At 49.3% G+C, this 24,177-nt stretch overlaps 4 annotated features.

Moving 5' to 3' along the window:
- Positions 10,099 to 10,697: an enhancer, noted in NCBI's record as "H3K4me1 hESC enhancer chr17:46072377-46072975 (GRCh37/hg19 assembly coordinates)". NCBI's record gives its function as "activates a minimal SCP1, AML or CMV promoter by ChIP-STARR-seq in naive H9 embryonic stem cells {active_cell/tissue: H9 hESC(naive)}" and the evidence as "EXISTENCE:reporter gene assay evidence [ECO:0000049][PMID:30033119]".
- Positions 18,176 to 18,730: an enhancer, noted in NCBI's record as "H3K27ac-H3K4me1 hESC enhancer chr17:46080454-46081008 (GRCh37/hg19 assembly coordinates)". NCBI's record gives its function as "activates a minimal SCP1, AML or CMV promoter by ChIP-STARR-seq in primed H9 embryonic stem cells {active_cell/tissue: H9 hESC(primed)}" and the evidence as "EXISTENCE:reporter gene assay evidence [ECO:0000049][PMID:30033119]".
- Positions 18,176 to 18,765: a biological region, named in NCBI's record as "Sharpr-MPRA regulatory region 8372".
- Positions 18,471 to 18,765: a silencer, noted in NCBI's record as "tiled region #8372; K562 Repressive non-DNase unmatched - State 7:EnhWF". NCBI's record gives its function as "represses a minimal TATA promoter and a strong SV40 promoter by Sharpr-MPRA in K562 cells {active_cell/tissue: K562}" and the evidence as "EXISTENCE:reporter gene assay evidence [ECO:0000049][PMID:27701403]".

Here is a 24,177-nt window from a genome sequence, read left to right on the forward strand (position 1 = left end):
ACAGAACCTCACTCTGTCACCCAGGCTGGAGTGTAGTGGCGTGATCTTAGCTCACTGCAAGCTCTGCCGCCCAGGTTCAAGCGATTCTCCTGCCTCAGCCTCCCGAGTAGCTGAGATTACAGGCACCTGCCACCACGCTCAACTAATTTTTGTATTTTTAGTAGAGACATGGTTTCGCCATTGGTCAGGCTGGTGTTGAACTCCTGACCTCATGATCCACCCGCCTCAGCCTCCCAAAGTGCTGGGATTACAGGCGTGAGCCACCGTGCCTGGCAACCTAAACTTATTTTTTAATAGAGACAGGGTCTCACTATGTTGTCCAGGCTGATCTCAAACTCCTAGCCTCAAGGGATCCTCCTGCCTCAGCCTCCCAACGTGCTGGGATTACAGGTGTGAGCCACCTCATTGGGCCTATTTAATCTAATTGCCACTTGTTTGATCTCTTTCCCAACTCCTGTACATGCACATACAAAATTTAATAAAAGTGATAGGAAGACAAACATGTAATACAGTGTGTTGGTGATTAGCACGTTCTTGAGATCTGGACTGCCTGGGTCAAACTCTGTCTCTGTTCTTACTCCCTTGGGCAAGTTGCTGGACCTCTCTGCCTCATTTCCTTCACCTGTAAAATGAAGACGAAGACCTTGGGTAGGAAGCTGTGGTGAGCATGCACACCACTTAGAACAGTGCCTGGAGGCCGGGCGCAGTGGCTCATGCCTGTAATCCCAGCACTTTGGCAGGCCAGGGCAGGCGGATCATCTGAGGTCAGGAGTTCCAGACCAGCCTGGCCAACATGGTGAAACCCCGTCTCCACTAAAAACACCAAAAATTAGCCAGCATAGTGGCAGGCACCTGTAATCCCAGCTATTCAGGAGGCTGAGACAGGAGAATCGCTTGAACCCAGGAGACGGAGGTTGCAGTGAGCCGAGATCGCGCCATTGCACTCCAGCCTAGGCAACAAAAGTGAAACTCCGTCTCAAACAAAAACAAAAACAAAAAAACAGTGCCTGGCACAGTAAGGCTCAGACTAGCTGTTGTGAGAGGGCGGTGGGGTGGAAATACCCTCAGCTGAGGTTAGAAAGTTGTGTTCTAGGCCGGGCGTGGTGGGTCACGCCTGTAATCCCAGCACTTTGGGAGGCTGAGGCAGGTGGATCATGAGGTCAGTAGTTCGAGACCAGCCTGGCCAGTACAGTGACACTCCGTCTCTACTAAAAATACAAAAATTACCTGAGCGTGGCGACATGCACCTGTAGTCCCAGCTACTCGGCAGGAGAATCGCTTGAACCCAGAGGCGGAGGTTGCAGTGAGCCAAGATCTCGTCACTGCACTCCAGCCTGGGTGACAGAGCAAGACTTTGTCTCAAAAGAAAAAAGAAAGTCGTGTTCTGGTGCCCCATATTCCAACATGTCCCAAATCAAAGCCATTGTCCACACCCACACTGCATCTCTCTTTATTTCCTGACAGTTTCATCAGTGGTGTCCTGGGCTCTGCTGGCTGCTCTTTCTAATCCACCCTGGGCCTTTTCACCCTAGTCATTTCCCTGCTTAGAAACTCTGAGGCTCTGTAGTGCCCCAAATTCCTAGAGTAGCAGCCGCCAAGCCCTGCATAATTGGAACCCCACCAGCCTTTTCAGCCTGGGCTACCCACCCAAGACATCAAATCCACATGTGTCCTCGAGGCCCCATCCTTTACTCGGCTCCCTCCAAACCATCTTGACCCCCGATTCAGATGAGGCCCAAATGCATCTCTGTGGACATCTCCAGTTGTCCCTGCAGAATTAGTCACTCCATCCCTCAGCAGCATCCTGCAGCCCCATGCAGATATCCTTAGGAGGGGGGAGCTCTTATTTATTGTGTTATATGCCTTCCTGAAGTGCCTGCCCACTGAGCTGCTTGCGGGCAGGAATGGTGTCTTGACCACATTTATGTCTCTCTTGGAGTATCAAACGTTAGCTTCTCTGAACTTTAATTGTCTTAATGCTCTCTAAAATGACTTTGACCTCTGACATATTATGATCATGTGGCTTACAAGTTAACACAAAGGAAGAGTCTCACGAAGCACAAGAAGTTTGGGAAGAAAATTGGGGTTAAGTCAGCTTTTTAAATGGACTGATGGCCAGGTGGGGTGGCTTACGCCTGTAATCCCAGCACTTTGGAGGCCGAGGCGGGAGGATCACTTGAGCCCAGGAGTTCGAGACCAGCCTGGGCAGAGTGCCTGCCTACCCCGAGGATCATTTCTGGGCCTCATCTCTCCTCTTTCACTGTTTGGTTGAGGACATTTCTGGAGAGGAAAGTAGAGGGCTATTGTCCCATCCTTTTGGAGATATCATTGCTTCATAGAGTTAGGTTTGCTATCAAAGCTGGGGCCTCCTCCCTGTCTGAATACCACCATCTGCTGGGCTTTGAGCAAGCCGTTCTGCCCTCTGAGCAATCGGGCCCGAGGAGCTGCGTCCAGGGTAGCTGTCCCGCCTGGCAGAGCCTGAGCCCAGCAGGAGGGCATCAAGGCTGCTGCAGGCGTGTAGAGCCCGGGGGCACCAGCTGACCCGGATCTGCCTGTGTCCTCCAGATGCCCTTCCTCCCTGGTGACTGCCAGGGCCTCTCTGAGTAAATTGGCCCTGAGTAAACTCTTACTTAGCCAGCCCGCCACCCTCCTCTCATTCCCCAGGCTTCAAAGAAAACCAGTTTGAATATTTAAACTTCTCCTGTGTATCTAATAAAAAGTTCTGCACTACTTAACGCCCCAGCTATCCATTACTGTCGGGAGCTGCTCTCTCCCTCCCAGCATTCCCCTCCCTCCCTCTCGCCCAAACCACGAGCATGGCAAAGCCATTTGTCAAACCGCTCCCGCCACTGGCTGCGCTTGGCTGTGTCTGAAAGGACAAGCCGCCCCACAGGGGAAGGTGGGAATGAATAAAGGGGCTATGCAAATTGCTGCTTAATCTGCAGAGAAACACCCAGGCTTTGGGGAGACGCTCATTACTTCTTTTAACTGTGATTAACGGGCAAATTAAACCCAAGCCCTTAACTCTCTCCTGGCAGAGGACTTGAACGCAGAGCCCTGGGCCAGTGAGGTTGGAGGGAGGTAGTTGCATCTGTACCTGGGGACCAGGACCGAGGAGCATCCGCACTGCCCCTTAACCCTGGTAGAAGGGAGGGGAACCCCAAATGCCTGAGGGCAGACCCAGCACAACTAATCTTAAAGCACAGGGAAGGAAGAACTTAGTTCTTTCAGAAGACAGTTCTGTCTGTCATTCAAGAAAAAGCAAAGTCAGGTTGGGCATGGTGGCTCATTCCTGTAATCCCAGCACTTTGGGAAGCTGAGGCAGGTGGACTGCTTGAGCCCAGGAGTTCGAGACCAACCTGGACAACATAGCAAAACCCCGTCTCTACAAGAGATACAAAAAATTAGCCGGATTTGGTGGCCTGCACCTGTAGTCCCAGCTACTGTGGAGGCTGAGGTGGGAGGGTCACCTGAGTCCAGGAGGCAGAGGCTGCAGCGAGCCAAGATCACACCACTGCACTCCAGCCTGGGCGACAGAGACCCTGAATCAAAAAAAAAAAAAAAAAAAAAGTAACATGGAGGACAGGCACAGTGGCTCACACCTGTAATCCCAGCACATTGGGAGGCCAAGGCGGGTGGATCACTTGAGGTCAGGAGTTTGAGGCCAGCCTGGCCAACATGCTGAAACCCCATCTCCACTAAAAATACAAAAAAAAAAAAAAGCAAAGTCACTGGTCCCTTGAATTTGCTTCCATCCTTCCCCTCCCCCCACACACACATACACACACACACAAAAACCCTGGGAGAATTTCTTAGACCTCAAGTGCCAAAACATGTCAAGGGTGTGGCTAAAGTGGCTTTAGCCACAAACTGAGTTGCTGGTCAGACCAGCCCCAAGTCTGGTGCTGGAAAAGTGTGTTTAAGGAGCCTCCAGATGTTCAACTCCAAAAATGACCTTGAGATGTATTAACCAGGGAGGTGAGGAAGCAGGAGGTGGGGGAGCTGAGTGTGCTTCTGGAAGGGGAGACACTGGGAATGGCCCTGCGCTGGCCATACGGGTTACAAGCACACACCCTACAAGGGGTCAAAGAGCCAAGGCAGCTCTCTTCATTCCTTATCCATCTGTGGGTTTTGGTTTTGGTTTTGAGGTAAGACATACATAGAATAAAATGTATCATTTTAACCTTTTTTGAGCGTACAGTTCAGTGACATTCACATTGCTGTACCACCATCATCACTATCCATTCTGTTTTTGCAGAATATTGAGCCATCCTAGGAGACCTGTAATCACCTCTAACAAACAGCAACAATGGAGGCAGGGCCCTGTAGCTAGAAGAGTTCTGTGTGAAATCCAGAAAATTGGAGAACGCCCACAGGAGCCCCGGGAGATTGAAATAGAGGCCTGCCGTTCAGGAGGCAGGTTTGGGAGGAAATCCTGCAGAGATTCCCCATTAAACACAGATTTCCCCTAAGCTTGAGCGATTAGGAGGTGAAAGATGACATACAATGGTGACAGACTGTCTGTCAACCTGATAGGGCCGAGGAGAGACACGGCCCCGTATTTTATTTTGTCGTGGAGTCGATCAGTAGGTCTGTCATAGAAACTAGCCCTGACAGCTCGCTCAACAACTCTGCTCTCTTTTCTTAACTCTTGAAGCCCAGCTCCACCATCTATTAAAACATCCTGGGCTGTCAGGGATATTAAAAGGCTCTGTCACTCTTTCTTAAAACAGTCATAAATACAATCTGGACACCAGCATTTGGGCAGGAGCCCCAGCATTGAGTGGGAAGAGGCAACAGCAGGTATGCCTGCCTTTCTTGACAGCCTGGGCTTTGGCATTGTTCAAATAGGGACCATGGACTTACCTCCTTTTTCTCTCTGTAGATGGAGGAATCATGGCCTTCTCTGATATCATGGATGCCTGGTATTTTGAAACAACTGTTCTTGACCACAGGATGTAGTCTTTGGTAAATGCAACCACAACTCTCAGCTTATCTCTGGCTCCTCATGCACCTAAACCACACCTGTTCCGAATGCCTACCTAAGGGAGTCTGGTTCCCAGGCCACCCCAGCTGGTAGGAGGGGGAGGAGGAACAAAAAGGTAATCAGAGTCTGAATTTTCCTCCACAATGGAGTTTGCCTCTTTCCCACTTCCATTCTTCTTGCTCCATGCAGCCTTGTAACTGACCCACCTTGCTAAAAAAGGTCTTTTGGGTGCCAGAAACTGACATGACACTTTGCAGGTGGGCTCCCAAGAGTGCAGGCTGGAACTTATGACCTTGCCAATTGGAGGAGCCCAGTCATCATCTCTAAATCTTTTATTTATTTATTTATTTAGACAGTCTTGCTCTGTCGCCCAGGCTGGAGTTCAGTGGCGCGATCTCGGCTCACTGCAACCTCCACCTCCCAGGTTCAAGCAATTCTCCTGCCTCAGCCTCCCAAGTAGCTAGGATTACATGCGTGTGCCACCATGCCTGGCCAATTTTTGTGTTTTTAGTAGAGACGGGGTTTTGCCATGTTGGCCAAGCTGGTCTTGAACTCCTGACCTCAGGTGATCCACCCGCCTCGGCCTCCCAAAGTGCTGGGATTACAGGCGTGAGCCACCGAGCCTGGCCCCATCAACTTCTGTGTTGACATCAGGGCAGTGCAGCACCAGGGAGCCTGGCATCTTAAGATGTCCTGTCTTTTGCCCACCAGTGTCCAGTGTCCAGAATCACTTTTCACCCCAGGACTTTCACTTAGCTTTGGATATTTTAAAACTACAGACTATGTGTTTTTCCCAACTGAGTTATCTTCTCAGCAGCTTTCTTCAAGTATTTTATGCCAAGAAGGGTCAGGCTTTTATGTTTTCTTTCCATGACATTAAATCCCTACTTTATTCCACTGTGTGGCCTCAGAGGGCAGAACTAGAGCCCACCTGTGGAGGTAACAGGGAGATGGATTTCCACCTGATATAAGGAAGCCCTTTCTGACAACCAAAAATGCCCTGCAAGGGCACAGGTGGGAAAGTCACATCACTGAAGACCTTAGGCTGACATTGGATCAATATCTGGTGGGGACACTGCTGAGAGTGGGAGGTTGGGTCAGATGACTCTGAGTCAATGATTTGGGTACTTGGTATGTCCAGAGGCTGGACGAGGCCTAGCAGCTGTTCACCAGCTGCCTTCCATGTGGCCATCTTGCAATTTAATCCCAGATGGTGGGACCCCTCACCGTCAAAGGTCACAGGGCCAGCTGCAGGGTAGTGGGCAAACCCTTCTTTGCCCCGGTAGCCCCCAGGCAGTGTCTGTGACCCAGCAGGCAGGATGTGGAAAGGAAAGAATGAGAGATGAAGCTGAGAGATCCCACCAGCGCCTCTGGTTGAGAAAGGCAGGCGGGAGCTCTGCCGGCTTCCCCTCCCCCTTTCACTTCACCCCCTCCCTGCTCCTTCCCTGTTTCCACCTGCCTTTCACTCTCTCTCCCTCTTTTGCTCTCTTCATCCCTCCCAGAGACCTCCCCCAATCTCCATGGCAATAAAAGGGGAGGTGGGGTGGGCTGTGCCCTGTATTTTTAGTTGCACCATAATAGCCCCTTTCTCTGGAGACACAGGGGCTGCCTGTGGAACGAATCTCCCCCTGCCCTTTGGCTCACAAAGGGCCAGGGAAGCCCCTTCAGCCTGGGCCGCCCTCTGTGACCCCGGCCTGTTTCCGGGTGGGGTGCACTTCCAGCCCTCGGGGGCCTGCAGCTGGGCCTCTCTCACGGGATCCTGCACACAGGCAGGGTCACCCCGGCTGACCTCCCCCGAGGACAGAGGTCAAGCCCCCTCTGGGGTCTCTGAAGTGATTGGAAGGGAGCCCAGGCAGGGGACAGGGGGAGGGGCGAGGAGGAGGGGACCTTCTCTTTTAATGTAAAATTAAATGACTCCCTGTGCCTCCCTGTCTGTGCCTATCTCAGGCTGGGTCCCCTGGCCTAGGACCTCACCCTTGGGGATCCAGGCATCTTAGAAATGAGTTAAACACCCTGCACTGGGGCTTGGTCAAACCTGAGTCCAGAGTATTAGAATAATAAAATCCCGGCAGGGCGTGGTGGCTCACGACTGTAATCCCAGCACTTTGGAAGGCTGACACGGGCAGATCATGAGGTCAGGAGTTCAAGCCCAGCCTGGCCAGCATGGTGAAACCTTGTCCCTACTAAAAATACAAAAATTAGCCAGATGTGGCGGCATACACCTGTAATCCCAGCTACTTGGAAGGCTAGGGCAAGTGAATTGCTTGAACCTGGGAGGTGGAGGTTGCAGTGAGCGGAGATCACACCACTGCACTCCAGCCTGGGCAACAGATCAAAATTCCATCTCGAAAAGAGATAAATAAATAAAAATAAAACCCTGGCATGGGAAATGGGAGGAACTCTGTAGGGCATCTGGGCCCGCAGAGTCAGCCCTGGATTTGAATCTGGTATTTGCTTGCTACCATGTGGCTTGAGACACTTCTGAGCCTTGATATGCTCATCTGCAGAGTCAACATCACAAGGTTAAGGCTCGAGTGAGATAATGCACATAACATGTTTCTTTGCACAGTGCTTGACTCCTAGTAGTTACTCAGGGTCCCACAGCTGTGACACTATTAGGCAGGAAGGAGTTCTTAGGCTTCAAAAATTCACCCGCTTAATTGAGGCTAGGGCATCCCCATTTCAGACCTTTAAAGATAGAGAAGCCACCATCCCCAGAGAAGAATAGTCAAGGCAGTATAGTGGATGAGAATCCAGGCTGGGAAGTCAGAGTGGCTGGAACTGAATTGACTATGTAGGGTTATTATGAAAATCAAACATGTTAACACATGAAACGTGCTCAAAAGGGAACTTGGCCCTTCACCCCCACTATATAAATGTTATTATTATTATTATTGATTTATTATTATTGGGTCTCTGTGGATTTTCCAGAAGACTGCTTATTTCAAATATGTAAAGCCCCTGTCCCTACAGGTTCCCCCTCTTTTCCATGTCACACAGCATGTTCTGATTCCCAGCAAGAAATAATATACGATCACTCTGACTTCGTTGGCTGATGAAAAAAAAATTCATTTTGTCCATGTAAATAGCACCTCTAAACAAGGGACACAGCTAACCCAGAAGGGAGTAATTGGCCCCATATAAAACAAGGCCAAGTGAAAGATACGAGTTCTGAAAAGCCGAAGGAGGTCTGGCGGGAGCTGCCGACAGCTCTTCTAACCTGCCCAACTTATTACTGGAATCATTTCAAGAGATAATTTAATGGTCTCCCTCTGTGTGGCCCTGTTCACTCCTGAAGGGAAATATATAAATAAATAAACAAACCTAACTACCCCAACCAACCCATGCTTTATGAGAACATCGCTTGCTTGTTTTTAATGGCACAGTTATTAATATAACTGTCCCGGCACCTCCCCTACATCTGATCACTGCTGAATTATAAGCCTTGAATCCTGATTGTGGTTCCCATGACTGCAGACGTTTCCACACTGTCCTGATGAGAGGAGAGAAGCAGCCCTCCACATGCAGGGAGGACTCAGAGGCTGGAGCGGGGACCTGCTGCCCTATCTGAGAGCATGCAGAATTTGGGGGACAAGGCTGAAACATGGAGCAGGAGGGGAAGAAAGGCGTCTGTAAGGTGTGATGAGGAAAGCTTTGGACTGAGGTCAGGAGACCTCAATTCAAAACAATCACTAGCTCTGGGATCTAGCTCAACCTCTCATCTGCCTCAAATAAATAGGAATCTTATTTTATATTTTATTTTTTTTTGAGACAGGGTCTTGTTCTGTTGCCCAGGCTGGAGTGCAGTGGTGTTAGCTCAGCTCACTGCAACCTCTGCCTCCTGGTCTAAAGGGATCCTCCCACCTCAGCCTCCTGAGTAGCTGGGACTACAGGTGCGGGCCATCACACCCAGCTAATTTTTTGTATTTTTAGTAGAGACAGGGTTTTGCCATGTTGCCCAGGTTGGTCTCAAACTCCTGGACTCAAGCAATATGCCTGCCTCGGCCTCCCAAAGTGCTGGGATTACAGGTGTGAGCCACCTTGCCCGTCTAAAACAGAAATTTTAAGAAATTCCTTTTCCCTTTGCTGTTTTTAAACACTTACAATGTGCCAGGCATCGTTAGCAAGATCTTATTTAATGCAGTCCCATAACCACCGTGTGTGGAGACTGATTTAATCCCCATGTAGTAGATAAGGAAACTCAGACTCTGAGAAATTAAGAAACTTGCCCAGCTGGTAAGCAGGGACGCTTGTTGACAGCCTGGATGTGCCTGACTGCAGGGCCCAAGCCCCTAACTACTAGGCTACACTGCCTTCCTGGGAAGTAACAGCTGTCCATCCCACCTGGCAGGATGGAGAGAGTCAGATGAGCCTATCCAAGTGAAGGGGCTCCATCACCTGTAAGCAGTATCATATGAGGTGGCTACAAGGCTTTCCCAACGGAAGGCGAGGGAGGCTGGAGTCTGATACACTAAGATTAGAGGCATGGACAACAAGAGCAAGCTGCAAAAGGCAGCAGCAACATCCCAAAGGGGACTGAATGAGTGACAAGCAGGCCACACCATTCCAACATTCACTCCAGAAGAAAGCTTTATTTCCTTTGACAACTGTGGATAGACAAGGAAAGGGGAGAATGTTCTCGTGTTCTGTGACTTCCTACCTCCATCAGAGGTGTAGTTAATTCTCATCTTACCGGGTCATCCTCAGGTACTTTGAGATGAGCAGGGCTCTGGTCTAGTTGAGTGGGGTGGACATGGCTGTTTCAGGCTACCCAGGACCCTGACACCACACGGAGAAGCCTCACTGAGTTCAGCCACAGTAGGGAGTTGGTAGAGCTAGGCATAAAGGCATAGAGGTGGCCAGGGGACAGACCCCCACCTTGCCCAGATTTGCTGGCACCAGAGGCAGCCTGAGGCCCAGGGCAACCAGGTGGCTGCTTGGTATTCTGCTCAGGCACCGCTGCATCCTGCCTCCTGGCTTCTCTGCTAGAGGGGCCTCCTCCCCCAGCCCAGCCTGGGCCATGCATTATCCTTGCAAGATTGAGGACCTAATGGAGGCGATCAGCACCCCCAGAGCGGGGGATCTCCATCCAGGCTTGGGAAGGAGGGCAGAGTAGTGCTAGTTGGCTTCTTTGCCCACCCTGAGATCGGGGTGTACTTGAGGGGGTCCCTGGAACTGGGGGCATTCTCTGCACCCCATCTTTGGGGCCTCTGGACAACCTCTGTCCAGGAAGCCACATTGCAAAAATTTCTCTCCTTGTCTCCATAGGATACCTTTGACATTCAGGGTCCCTTTGGGGAGACCCAGCCTCTTGAAGCTTTCTGCTTGCTCTGAGGAGGGGACACTCCCACCCTTACCCCACCCCCTCTCCTGACTGCCAGCTGGCCGGCGTGGGAGCCGGGCTTCCACTGCCCATTGTTTCTCAGCTCTCCTCCCATGGTGGCGGGGTGAGCCTCATCCCCCAGGTCAGGAGCACAGGGCAGCCCCTCCCCCTTCCCTCCCTGGGCTTCAAAGGCCCAGAGGGACTAACCCTTGTCACCATGGGGCCTCCCCTCTGGGAGCCATGATGGGGGCGGCTGCCCCCAAAGCAGCATTCAGTGGCTCCCTGGGAGTGAGCCGAGCAGGCCGGGAGGTGATCACAGGCATGTATGAGGTCAAACGAGGGAGGTCCCAGGCAGACGGCTTGGGAAAAGCTTGGGGATGGGAGAGAGGCAGCAAAGGTGATTGCAGTAATTAAAGCAATGAGCCCGCTACTTCCAAGAGGAGCTAATCCTAGCACAGCCCAGGACCAGGTGCTGTGTTTCCCATGTGCCGCGTCATTTCTCCTCACAGAAGCTGCGTAATACCAAAGCTACATTGCACACATGGAGAACATCAAGCTCAGAGAGGTTAAGTAATTTACCTGTGTCCCACAGAAAGGACCTGAAAAGGACTTGGACTCATATTATTTGACTCTGGAACCTTACTCCTAACTACTGTGCCAGGTGCTGAACTAGGCAACTGGGAGGGAAAACAGAATGGGTCCTGGGCACCCATCTTCAAAACACTCACCTGACTTCATACATGTCTGCAAAATGTGTGTTTCTTGCCAAAGAGCATCCAGGCATCCAAGAAGCAATGTTTTCACTGAGCCTACAAATATAGAAATTTCTCCCTCTTCTTTTCAGCTCTCCTTCCCCTTCTAAGTGTCTTTATTCCTCTTCTTCCCAGGCTAACATTCTCTCCTCCCACCATCTGCTCCCAAGGTGGCTGATACTGCCCACCTTGCTTCCCTGGGGATGGAGGGGTCTGGGGCTCATCCCTCCCCCAGGTGCTGTAATTTGTGAGGCTGCCCAACTGGAGTGGACCCAGGGCCTCCCAGACTGCCCTCCCGCCACTGTGAGTTGGCTGGCCTCTGCCCTCTGCCCTCTTCTGCCATTAACCCTGTCACCTGCCGGACATCAGCCTCCAGGCCCAGTCTGTCATCCATGGCCAAAGATGGATGGGGGGCGGCTGGGAAGCATAAGCAGCGACCCCTTAATGAGATCTGGCGGGGGAGGGCTGGGCTCTATCAGGCAGCAGCAGGGCCAGGTTGGCGATAACAGGCTCTTGTGGAGCGTGACCCATTTTCCTTCTGGAGGAGAAGACAGTCGGGTGAGAAGCTGCAGGACAGGTTTGGGGGACGGGTCACAGGGTTCTTTTACCACCCACCCCTATCCTCCTTCCCCTCTTCTGGCAAACCAGACTCGGTAGATGGGCAGAGGCTATGGAAAACAGATGACCCCCACTTCTCATTCCTCCTCTTTGGCACGGTGACCCCAGCTCCTAAGGAAGAAACACGGACACAAGGAATGACTAGGACACAGGAGACCAGATACCAGGCTGGGGCAGCCCCAGTCAGCCCTGGGAGATGTCAGAGAAACTGGAGGGAGGGGGCCTTTGTGGGGTGTCTATGGAGTGAGGAGCATCTTCAGAGGTGCAAGGAAAGGGCCTTTGTTGAAGCTGGTGAAAGAGTGGGATGCAAGGGTTGGGGGAGAACCATTATTGCGTTACTGGGTGGTCTCCCTACCATTTCCCCCCACGGTGATTCATGGCATTTTATTTAATTTATTTATTTATTTATTTATTTATTTATTTTTGAGATGGAGTCTCACACTGTCACCCAGGCTGGAGTGCAGTGGCGCGATCTCGGCTCACTGCAAGCTCTGCCTCCCGGGTTCATGCCATTCTCCTGCCTCAGCCTCCAGAGTAGCTGGGACTACAGGCACCTGCCACCATGCCCGGCTCATTTTTTGTATTTTTTTTTAGTAGAGACAGGGTTTCACCATGTTAGCCAGGATGGTCTCGATCTCCTGACCTCATGATCCGCCCACCTCGGCCTCCCAAAGTACTGGGATTACAGGCATGAGCCACTGCGCCCGGCAATTCATGGCATTTTAAAAGAAAGAGATGCTGGGCCGGGCACGGTGGCTCAAGCCTGTAATCCCAACACTTTGGGAGGCCGAGGCGGGTGGATTGCCTGAGGTCAGGAGTTCAAGACCAGCCTGGCGAACATAGTGAAACCCTATCTCTACTAAAAATACAAAAAATTAGCCGGGCTTGGTAGCGGGCTCCTGTAATTCCAGCTACTCGGAAGGCTGAGGCAGGAGAATGGCTTGAACCCAGGAAGGGGAGGTTGCAGTGAGCCAAGATTGTGCCATTGCACTCCAGCCTGAGCAACAAGAGCGAAACTCTGTCTCAATAAATAAATAAATAAGATGCTGGAAAGTTCTAGACTTTCATTGTACAGATAGGGAAGTTGATGTCCAGAGAGCGGAAGAGATCCACCCAAATAAGTAGAAGAGCCAGAGCGAGAATCCAGGGCTCTTGAAGACCCAGGCCTCCGCTCAGCACTGCACCACGCTTCCTTCTTGCTCCTTACCCGGGAAGAAAATACAACAGCTGCTGAAATAATTATTCCTGGACTTGTCTAAAAGGGGTTATTCTTTCCCACTTCCTCCCCCACCCCCTCAACCCACATACAGTGCATTGCCCAAGGACTTTTCGTAGGTTTGGGAGAGAGACTTGGGGGAAGAGGGGTGAGGATGCTTCTTGTTTCATCCAAGTCAGAATGGGAAATAATTTACTCCCTGAGGACATGAACAGGGTTGGGTCAAAATAGGACTCTTCAAGTTTGAGGGGTTTGTTTGGGTTTGGTTTGGTTTTGCCCAGCAAAGGTTGGCTGCGAGACCCTTTGGCCACTTATTTTGACATTGGCCACTGTCGATTGCCCCCTGCGCTCCTGCCTGGGTGCTGCTGTGGTGATGCCTGTCTCCTCTCCTCCCTGCCTATGACAGTCCAGCTGAGTTGGATTGTGGAGTGTGGCATCTGGTGGTTCGGGGATCAGGGACTTTTGAATCTGGTCCTAGTAAGCTGTGTGGCTCTCAGCAACAATTAATCTTTCTAGGTCTCAGCTGCCTCATCTTTAAAAGGTAGTAATAGAAAAGTCTTCACACTTTTTTTTTTTTTTTGAGACAGTCTTGCTCCATCGCCCAGGCTGGAGTGCAGTAGCGCAATCTCGGCTTACTGCAACCTCCGCCTCCCAGGTTCAAGCCATTTTCCTGCCTCAGCCTCCCAAGTAGCTGGGATTACAGGCACCCACCACCACACCTGGCTAATTTTTTAAATGTATTTTTAGTAGAGACGGGGTTTCACCATGTTGGCCAGCCTGGTCTCAAACTCCTGACCTCAGGTGATCCACCTGCCTCAGCCTCCCAAAATGCTGAGATTACAGGTGTGAGCCACCATGCCTGGCCCACACTTCTTTTTAAAAAGAAGGACCAGGCTGGGCAACGGTGGCTCATGCCAGTAACCCCAGCACTTTGGGAGGCTGAGGTTGGAGGATCACTTGAGCTCAGGAGTTCAACACTAGCCTGGGCAACATGGTGAAACGTTGTCTGTACTAAAAATACAAAAATTAGCTGGGCATGGTGTTGTATGCCTGTAGTCCCAGTTACTCGGGAGGCTGAGGCAGAAGGATGGCTTGAGTTCGGGAGGCAGAGGTTGCAGTGAACTGAGATCACGCCACTGCCCTCCAGCCTGGGTGACAGAGCAAGACTTTGTCTTAAAAAAAAAAAAAAAAAAAGACCAGAACCAGTGCCATGCTGAAGCTGGCTTGCACTGGATCCTAAAAGCCAATTATGTGCATTTCCCAACTTTGCACTGGGATTTCCAGTTGGTGGCTTGAAATGGGCTTTTGTGGAAATATTTACACCACAGAAATAAGCAAAGGCTACAAATCAGGGCTTCAGCACTCCAAGTGAGAGCCAGCCAGTAAACTTTTAGCAGCACGACACTGGCCAGAACTCTAACATGTTATATAAAAACACATAAACAGGCTGGTCACAGTGGCTCATGCCTTTGGGAAACCGAGGTGGGCGAATCCCCTGAGGTCAGCAGCTCGAGACTAGCCTGGCCAACATGGTGAAACCCCATCTCTACTAAAAATACAAAAATTAGCCGGGCATGGTGGCGCATGCCTGTAATCCCAGCTACTCAGGAGGCTGAGACAGGAGAATCGCTTGAACCCAGGAGGCAGAGGTGGCAGTGAGCGGAGATCATGCCATTGCACTCTAGTCCGGGCGACAGTGTGAGACTCTGTCTGAAAAACAAAACAAAACAAAACAAAACAACAAAACAAAAAAACACACATAAACAGAACTGCTTTGGTTGGTTGAAACAAGGGTTCCCCACTCCCCTCACACACATCAAGCTTTGCCAAAACCCAGGACTTGAAGTCTGAGATTTGTGCCAGCTCTCAATCCTGTGAGTCTAAGTAACAGGCCACAAGAGGTGATGCAGGAGGAAGAATGACGAACAATGATGAGGCTTAGGTTTTATGACTGTATTTAGCTAATCGAGCCTTGTCTGTGTGGGCAAGTCAACTTTGATGATCCAGGAAGCACCTCTGGAGTTGCTTAACCCTGCAGGTCCCAAGGCCTTCTGGTGGCCTCGGCAGGTAGTGGCACCCTCCAGAGCAGTCTCTCACTAGCGGATCTCTCAGTGGGTGGCAGGAGGATGGCTTTAGGGGAGGGAATGTCACCCACCTCCCCACAACTGTGCCTCTGCCCTGCAGGGTGAAGGTAAATGAAGTGACATTTGAATCCATTCAGATACTGCAGGAGAATGAATGCTGAATGAATGAATGAATCCAGGGAGAGCTGGAGCCAAATAAGCTTCATCAATTTATGTGGTGGGGAGGATGCTAGCCAGGAAGTGGAGGCCAGTGTTCAAATGCAGGGCTCAAGCCATAGCTCCAGCAGTTCCTGACCATGACATTTTTTGTATTTCAGTACCGTTTTGTAGAATGGGGCTACTGAACCAGGCTTAAAATCGTATTTCAGTCTGGTCTTTATGATGGGGACGGTAGGGGTGAACATGGAGCTCTCATTCTGCATGTAGTGGAAGGGCCCACCCCGCAAGCATGTTTCGCTGCTATTTTTGCCAAGGTTCTGTGAAGATTTCAATATTCCCAAGCTTGCTATCTTTCAAGCCTAGTAGAATCAGCTGGGCTGATATCTTCTAGCTGGTGGGAAAAAATGCCAGCAAGCAAAAGAAAAGGAGAGGAGAAACAAATGTTTGTAACTGAAAGAAACCTGGCATTTAATCTAGTGATTTCTATCTGCCAATCATCAGAATTGTCATTACCTGGGACAATTTAAAAAGTACAATTTCTAGGCCAGGCGCGGTGGCTCACGCCTGTAATCCCAGCACTTTGGGAGGCCGAGGCAGGTGGATCATGAGGTCAGGAGATTGAGACCATCCTGGCTAACACGGTGAAACCCCGTCTCTACTAAAAATACAAAAAAATTAGGCGGGCAAGGTGGTGGGCGCCTGCAGTCCCAGCTACTCAGGAGGCTGAGGCAGAAGAATGGCGTGAACCCAGTGAGCCAAGATTGCACCACTGCACTCCAACCTGGGTGACAGAGCGAGACTCCGTCTCAAAAAATAAATAAATAAATAAAAATAGGCTGGGCGTGGTGGCTTACGCCTGTAATCCCAGCACTTTGGGAGGCCAAGGCGGGCAGATCATGAAGTCAGGAGATCGAGACCATCCTGGCTGACACGGTGAAACCCCATCTCTACTAAAAATACAAAAAATTAGCTGGGCGTGGTGGCGGACGCCTGTGGTCCCAGCTACCTGGGAGGCTGAGGCAGGATAATGGCGTGAAACCAGGAGGTGGAGGCTGCAGTGAGCTGAGATCGCGCCACTGCACCCCAGCCTGGGCGACAGAGCGAGACTCCGTCTCAAAAAATAAATACATAAATAAATAAATAATTTTAAAAAATAAAATAAAAAGTACAATTTCTTACCCTGCCTCTAGACATACTGATTATTAAAAATCTCCCGTTGGGGAGGGGTCTGGTGTTTGGGAACCAGCACACTCCCTCTCCTGACCTCCCACAGCAGAGGGTGAAGGCTACCACCAGCTGACCAGTCATAAGACTTTGTCTTCTTTCTGTTTCTAAAAGAGATTTCCTCATTTTCCCTTAGCAAATAGGGAAAGACCAAAAAAAAAAAAAAAAAAAAAGAGTTCTTTCCCACAGCTAACCTAAATCTTGGCTGCATTTCTAGGCCTCTCATCTGCATAATAACTTCACTGATGATTTCAGAGTTTGCTTTCTTCACCCTGAATGTTCTGGGTTTATTTCTTCATTCAATAAAAATTAATTCAGCACCTCCTACTCACCAGGTCCTTTAGTAGCTGTTGGGGAGATGAGCAAAATGGACACTATCCTTGGCTTTTGCATCTTATAGCCTTTTAAGGGAGTCAGACAGTTAAATTTGCAATGGTGGCTCATGCCTATAATCTCAACACTTTGGGAAGCCAAGGCAGGAGGATCGCTTGAAGTCAGGAGTTTGAGACCAGCCTGGGCAACATAGTGAGACCCTGTCTCTACAAAAAATTAAAAAATTAGCCGGGTATGGTAACACATGCCTGTGGTCCCAGCTACTTGAGAGGCTGAGGTGGGAGGATTGCTTGAGCCTGGGAGGAGGTCACGGTGCTTCAGTGAGCCTTGATTGCACCACTGCACTCCAGCCTGGGCGACACAGCGAGACCCTCATCTCTAAAAAATAATAATAAAAAAAATAGCATGTCAGGATGTCAGGCTAGGGCAGATGTTGGGATGGTAAGATGGGGTGGGGCAAAGCCTCCTGAAGAAATGAAGGGTCGGGTATGGTGGCTCATGCCTGTAATCCCAGCATTTTGGGAGGCCGAGGCAGGCGGATCCCTTGAGCCCAGGGATTTGAGACCAACCTAGGCAACATAGCAAAACCCCATCTCTACAATAAAATAAAATAAAATAAAATAAATAGCTGGGTGTGGTGGCGTGTGCCTGTAATCCCAGCTACTCAGGAGGCTGAGGCAAGAGAATTGCTTTAGCCTGGGAGGTGGAGGGTGCAGTGAGTGGTGTTTGTACCACTGCTTTCCAGCATGTAGCAAGAGAGTGAGACTCAACTGGAAGGAAGGAAGGAAGGAAGGGAGGGAGGGGAAAGAAGGAAAGGAGTGCTAATTTGCGGACTTAGGATAAGTAGCAGTTAGTCCAAGGATGTGGAAGGGAGGGTGGAGAGCAAAGATCCTGGCAGAAAGACCAGCATATGTGGGGCTGAAGGCAAAAAAACAGAGAATGCTTGACAAACTGAGTGAAAATTCATACAGTCGGGCACTCTGCCTCACAAATCCTTCTGTCATTTCTACAGTTCTCCCAGAAACCCCTTGAAACTCGCCTGTGACTCTCTAGGCTCCCTGGAGTCCAGAGCAAGACAAAGAACTTTTGTCTGATCAGCTGAGATATAATGAGAATGACCCCCAGGTTCCTTATTTATGCATCCGGCATGCAGCTTGCTTTTGTAAGAATAGCACTGTATTGCTGACTCATAGTCAGCCATGCATTTTACAATAATCCCACAATGTCTGCCCTGGATTTTCTTTCTGCCTAACTTCCTGTTCAGCCTTCTTTTAAAAAGCCTTGCCTCTGTGCTCTCTTTTTACTTATCTCTTTCTTTGAAATGGATCACGTCTAGAATTTGTGGGTTTCAGGGAAATCTGCCATCCCAAGGGTCCTTCTCCAATGAAATTAAGGTCAAATTGAGATTTGGAATTGAAAGCTGATTAGTCTGAATGCCCACATCTTAGAGCATCTAACCAATCTATCTGCCCATCAGGGTGACTGATCCCATCCCTGTCTTATTTGCTGCTGTGGGGGTGAGGGCAGGGGGTGGAGAAGGATGGAAGCAGAGTCAGCGCCAGACAGTGATGTGCCACGCAGAATAGAATCTCTGCACAGCGTCTCCTGGAAGGGGGAGGGGGGCAGATGCTGACAGACTCGTGGGAGCCATGCCAAGAGATGGGTCTGCCTGGGTCCCTGACTAAACCAACTAACTCTTCCCAAGCTGATCAGGCTGCAGGGCCAGAGCCCCACTATTCTTCCCTGGGATCCCAAGTGAAGCAATGGGGGCCACGTAGGAATTCATCGGTCAATGCTAGTTTGGTGGGTGAGGGTGGGGAGGTTGGGGAGGAGCAGGCGCGGGGGTGGGTGTGCTTGGATTCGCTCATGGGAGCTGAGCCAGCCCCAGCAGGGAAGAAGGGTCGCTTTGGCATTCATTCTCCTGCAGTTACCAGGCCTCGCCGCCTGCCGGGCTGCTGGTGCGCAGGGCCCAGCCCCCTCCCCAAAGAGCCCCTGAGAGGGGCCAGGAGTGGGGGGAAGGCCACCCGTGGCCTTGTGAGACTGAAGCACAAGCTCCTTCCTCAGCTGCCAGGGAAGAATTTAATTACCAATTAAAGCCCCCTCCATCTGTTTCGGGCCTGCCAGAGAGCTCTCTCTACCCTTTAATTACATCTCTGACAACAATTTAACTCAATTAGCTGGTAAACACAGCAGAATGCAGGCAACCCAGGGCACCCTCTTGTCCCTGCCATCTGTCTGTCCGTCTTGTGCTTTCCCAACTCGCTCTCAGTCTGTCTGTCCTGCCCCTGCTTCCCTGTCTCATTTTGACACCGCCCCCCACCCCTTGGTTTTCTCTTTTTCTTCTGTCTTCTCCAGCACCTCTTGTCTGTTTCACACCAGCTGGGTTTCCCCCGCCCTCCGCGTCTTTGTCATTCTGTCTTCCTCTCCCATCTGCTCTTTGTCCATCCCTTTCCCGTGCTCTGTCTTGTTCTGTGCATCCCAACTTTCTCTCTTACTCTGCCAGGCTAGTCTCCAATGAGCCTTTTCCTTCCCCTTTCCTTCTCCCCGTCTTCTTCCTCCTTCTCCGCCATCTGTCCTACATTAACCAAATCCATCCCTTTCAGCATCTCCTCTGTGAGCCTCCTTTCTGGTGTGTTTCCCTTAACCCCTGCCATCTCCTTTTGCTTCATCCACTTAGCACAAACAAAGGTGAGCCCTAGGAGCAGTAGTTGCCATCTTTTGAGCACTTACTTTGCCAGTCATTGGCTAAGAGCTTTACATGCATTATTTTGTTGAATTTTTACAAAAATTGTGTGAATGGGTATAATTATTCCCATTTCACAAGTGGAATAATGGATCCTCTGAGAGATTTTGCCACTTATCCAAGGTCACAGAGCTTGCAACTGATAGAACTAGGATTCAAAGCCAGGTCTGTTTCCTTCAATACTGCATGAGATACCCGAGGCTGGGCACAGTAGCTCATGCCTGTAATCCCAGCACTTTGGGAGGCCAAGGTGGGCAGATAGCTTGAGCCCAGGAGTTCGAGACCAGACTGGGCAACATGATGAGACCCCCGTCTCTGCAAAAAATATAAAAATTAGCCAGAAGTGGTGCATGCCTGTAGTCTCAGCTACTCAGGAGCCTGAGGTGAGTGAGTCACTTGAGCCCAGCAGGTCGAGGGGAGCAGTTTTAAGGATGACAGAGAGGCCTGAATATTTGGGGAAAGGCTCTGTGTTGTTGAAATGAAGGGCAAAGCAATAGGTTCCCAGTTAACATTGGGAGGGAGGTGGGTAGAGAAGGGTAAAAAATAGAAATCATTTCTGAGAATTTAACCTCCTCATTTCTGCTGGAAGGAACTTTCCAGATTCTAGTTTACTACAGTGTTGAAGAAGTTCCCCAGTCCTCTGAGAAAGTAAAAAATGTCCAGGACCTACAGGAATAAGAGAGAGGGAGAGAGAGAAACAAGTAGGCTATAATTATCCTAGCAACCCTCTCCTGGAATGGGGGCGGGGGTGGGTGCTGCAGAGAAGGGCAGCCTGATCCGTCTTGTGGACAGGCAGGGACATGATGGAGACCCCAGGTCAGCCAGGTAGTCACATGGCTGCAGCTTGGGCAGACCCCAGCCAGATAAAACTCATCTGCTTTCTTCCCCCATCCTTCCTCGGCTGACTAATCACTCTTCCTGTGATTAAAACAGAAAAGAACTGGGGGGAAAGGCTACAGGAGAGAAAGAGAGGCTGTCTCTGATCTCTGTTTTCTACCTTCCTTTGCTCTTGAGATGTGCTGTCCATCCTTGGGGGTTTGCTCCGCTTGGTGTTTAGAACCCACATATTCCACTAACTCACACCTTCACCTTGCCTTCTGCCACACTAAGAAGAGTGCTGGGATTCCAGCGAAATTCCTCAAATGCAGAAACTGTGCTCTGAGAGCAAATGCCAGTCAGCTATGGGTTAGAGTCAGCCTCAGTAGGGAGACTGGCACAATACCCAGCTTTTTTTTTTTTTTTTTTTGTTTTTTGTCCTGTTTTTGTTTTTGTTTTTGAGATGGAGTCTTGCTCTGTCACCCAGGCTGGAGTGCAGTGGCGCCATCTCGGCTCACTGCAACCTCTGTCTCCCGGGTTCAAGCGATTCTCCTGCCTCAGTCACCCAAGGAGCTGGGATTACAGGCACGTGCCACCATGCCTGGCTAACTTCTGTATTTTTTATAGAGACGGGGTTTCACCATGTTGGCCAGGCTGGTCTCGAACTCCTGACCTCAAGTGATCCGCCCACCTTGGCTTCCCAAAGTGCTGAGATTACAGGCATGAACCACTGCATGTGGCCTCTTTTTTTTTTTTTTTTTTTTTGAGACAGTCTCACCCTGTTGCCCAGGCTGGAGTGCAGTGGCACAATCTCAGCTCACTTTGACCTCCACCTCCTGGGTTCAGGCAATTCTCGTGCCTCAGCATCCCAAGTAGCTGGATTATAAGCACGTGCTACCACGCCTAGCTAATTTTTGTATTTTTAGTAGAGACGGTGTTTCATCATGTTGGCCAGGCTGGTCTCGAATTTCTTGTGTCAAGTGATCCGCCCGCCTTAGCCTCCTAAAGTACTGGGATTACAAGCATGAGCGACTGTGCCTGGCAGAATTTTCAATATTACAGATCTCTCAAGAAGTCCCATCCTGCAGGCAGACATGGAAAGTTCTGGACAGAGGCAACTAAGGGGCAGGATGGAAGGCTGGAAAAGAGATGGGGTAGGGAAGCAAGGAATTCAAAATGAAGAAGCTCCCAGTCCAGTCCCAAGCTTTATACAATCAGTGGGTGTGTGGGCAGTTTCTGTAAACATTATATAATAAAGACCACAGAGAAGAGAGGCTGGTAGGTGTTTTTTTGTTTTTGTTTTTGTTTTTGTTTCTAAATAGACATGTAATTACCTAGAACTTTAGAGTTCAACAGACCAGCAGTCTACCTAACCTAGGGTCCTTCCTGTTGCAAGAATTATTATTATAGTAGCCCTCATAATAGCCTTCTTTGGATACTTCCAGCCACAGATAACTTATTACCTCACTAGGTAATACCTTTCTATTTTCAGGCTGTTTTAATGTTTTTTTTTTGTTTGTTTGTTTTTGTTTTTTTTGAGATGGAGTCTGGCTCTGTCACCCAGGCTGGAGTGCAGTGGTGCCATCTCGGCTCACTGCAAGCTCTGCCTCCCGGGTTCACGCCATTCTCCTGCCTCAGCCTCAGGAGTAGCTGGGACTACAGGCGCCCACCACTACGCCGGGTTAATTTTTTGTATTTTTATTAGAGACGGGGTTTCACCGTGTTAGCCAGGATGGTCTTGATCTCCTGACCTCGTGATCCGCCCTCCTCGGCCTCCCAAAATGCTGGGATTACGGGCGTGAGCCACCGCGCCTGGCCCTGTTTTAATGTTTAGAAAAATCTTTCTCATACTAAACCAGAGACTATTTCCCTGTAATTCACCTCCTTCTGTCCTTTTTTCATTGTGTGAATTGATGGAGAATATGTAAATCTTCCTCCACAGTTCAGATGCCAATCAAATGTCTAGAAGGCAGCCAAAAGGAATCCCTGAGAGTTAAACATTCCTAATTCCTTCACCTATTCCTCAAGTGCTCTCCTTTCAAAATCTCACTATTGTTTATATATCCCATAGGCTTTTTCATTAGCAATGCCTTTCTTTATAAATAGTGCCCCAGACCTAAAGATTAATTCCAAAGGGCACAGGATAAAGAAAGACCATCACCTCCCTTGTTCTAAAGACTGTATTTTATTAATGCAGCTCAGAATCTATAATTTTTTACAGCAGACGCAGATCACAGCAGTTTTATTTGTTTGTTTGTTTAGAGTTTCACTCTGTCTCCCAGGCTAGAGTGCAGTGTCACAATCTCGGCTCACTGCAACCTCCGCCTCCCGGATTCAAGCAATGCCTGTGCCTCAGCCTCCCAGTAGCTGGGATTACACCACCACGCCAAGCTAATTTTAGTATTTTTAGTAGAGACAAGGTTTCATCATGTTGGCCAGGCTGGCTCGAACTCCTGGCCTCATGTGATCTGCCCTCCTCAGCCTCCCAAATTGCTGGGATTACAGGTGTGAGCCACCATGCCCGGCCCATAGTAGCTTCTCTATCATATCAGCATATTGAGGTTGCAGGCAACTAAACTTACTGTTTTTAGTATATGTCACTCTTAGACCATGTCTTCCTCATTCCTACTGAATTAACTCTTTTGGTGACAAGTATAAAACTTATTTAATTCTTTTAAATTTCACCTCACTCAACTCAATTTAACACTGATGGAGCATACATCATGTTAAACTGTGTTCGATTTCGGCCAATGTTTCCATCCTGCTAAGATCTTATTAAATCCTTAGCCTGTCACCCGAAACATTAATTCTCTCTTTTAGCTGTGTGTCATCCACAGAGCTGATGAGCTTGTCTTTCATGTTTTCACCCAATCCTGATAAAGTGTTGAAAAGTACAGTGCCTCCTAAGAGGACCATTTTGAAAGAATCAACATCTGGCCGGGCACGGTGGCTTATGCCTGTAATCCCAGCACTTTGGGAGGCTGAGGTGAGCCGATCACGGGGTCAGGAGATCAAGACCACCCTGGCTAACATGGTGAAACCCTGTCTCTACTAAAAAAAAAATACAAAAAAAAAATTTGCCATGTGTGGTGGTGGGCACCTGTAGTCCCAGCTACTTGGGAGGCTAAGGCAGGAGAATGGCGTGAACCTGGGAGGCGGAGCTTGCAGTGAGCCGAGATGGCACCACTGCACTCCAGCCTGGGCAACAGAGCGAAACTCTGTCTCAAAAAAAAAAAAAAAGAAAGAAAGAAAGAATCAACATCTAAATGAATCTCTCTCCTTCAGATGGAGGCTATATAGTTGGTTTTTTGGTAACTTTTTATTTTGATAAATTTCAAACTTATAAAAAAATGTCAAAAATAGTACAAAGAACTCCCATGTGCCCTTTACCCAGATTCATCAATTGTTTACATTTTGCTCCATTCATTTCATCCTTATCTATCTACATGTTTACATATGCATTTTTTTGCAACTTTTGGAGAGTACATTGGAGACATCCTGTCCCTTTACTCCTAAATATTCTAGTATGTGTTTCCTAAGAACAAAGGCATTCTCTTACACAAACAACCTCAGTATCATGATCAAAATCAATAAATTTAACATTGTTATGAAACTACCGTCTAATGTACAACCCATATTCAATGTCCATCCATTTTTCCAGTAATGTCCTTTATGACTATTTCCATTGTCAAACCCTCTCTACGGCCAGTCCAGGATACAATCCAGGATCATAGATGGCACTCAGTTGTCATGACTTCTTAGTAGGAGGCTATAATTCTATTTCAACACTTTGCCATTGCTAAAAGCAGTTTCAAAACTTTTTTTGGAAAATGGGAAGGCTCCATGGGAATTATCTTCAGAGTCTTCAGCACATTTGTGTTGCTTTCCTCAAAGGAACCAGATCCTCATCCTTGGAAGGTGG

This window comes from Homo sapiens, chromosome 17 (assembly GCF_000001405.40).
Source record: "Homo sapiens chromosome 17, GRCh38.p14 Primary Assembly".
NCBI classification, from domain to species: domain Eukaryota; kingdom Metazoa; phylum Chordata; class Mammalia; order Primates; family Hominidae; genus Homo; species Homo sapiens.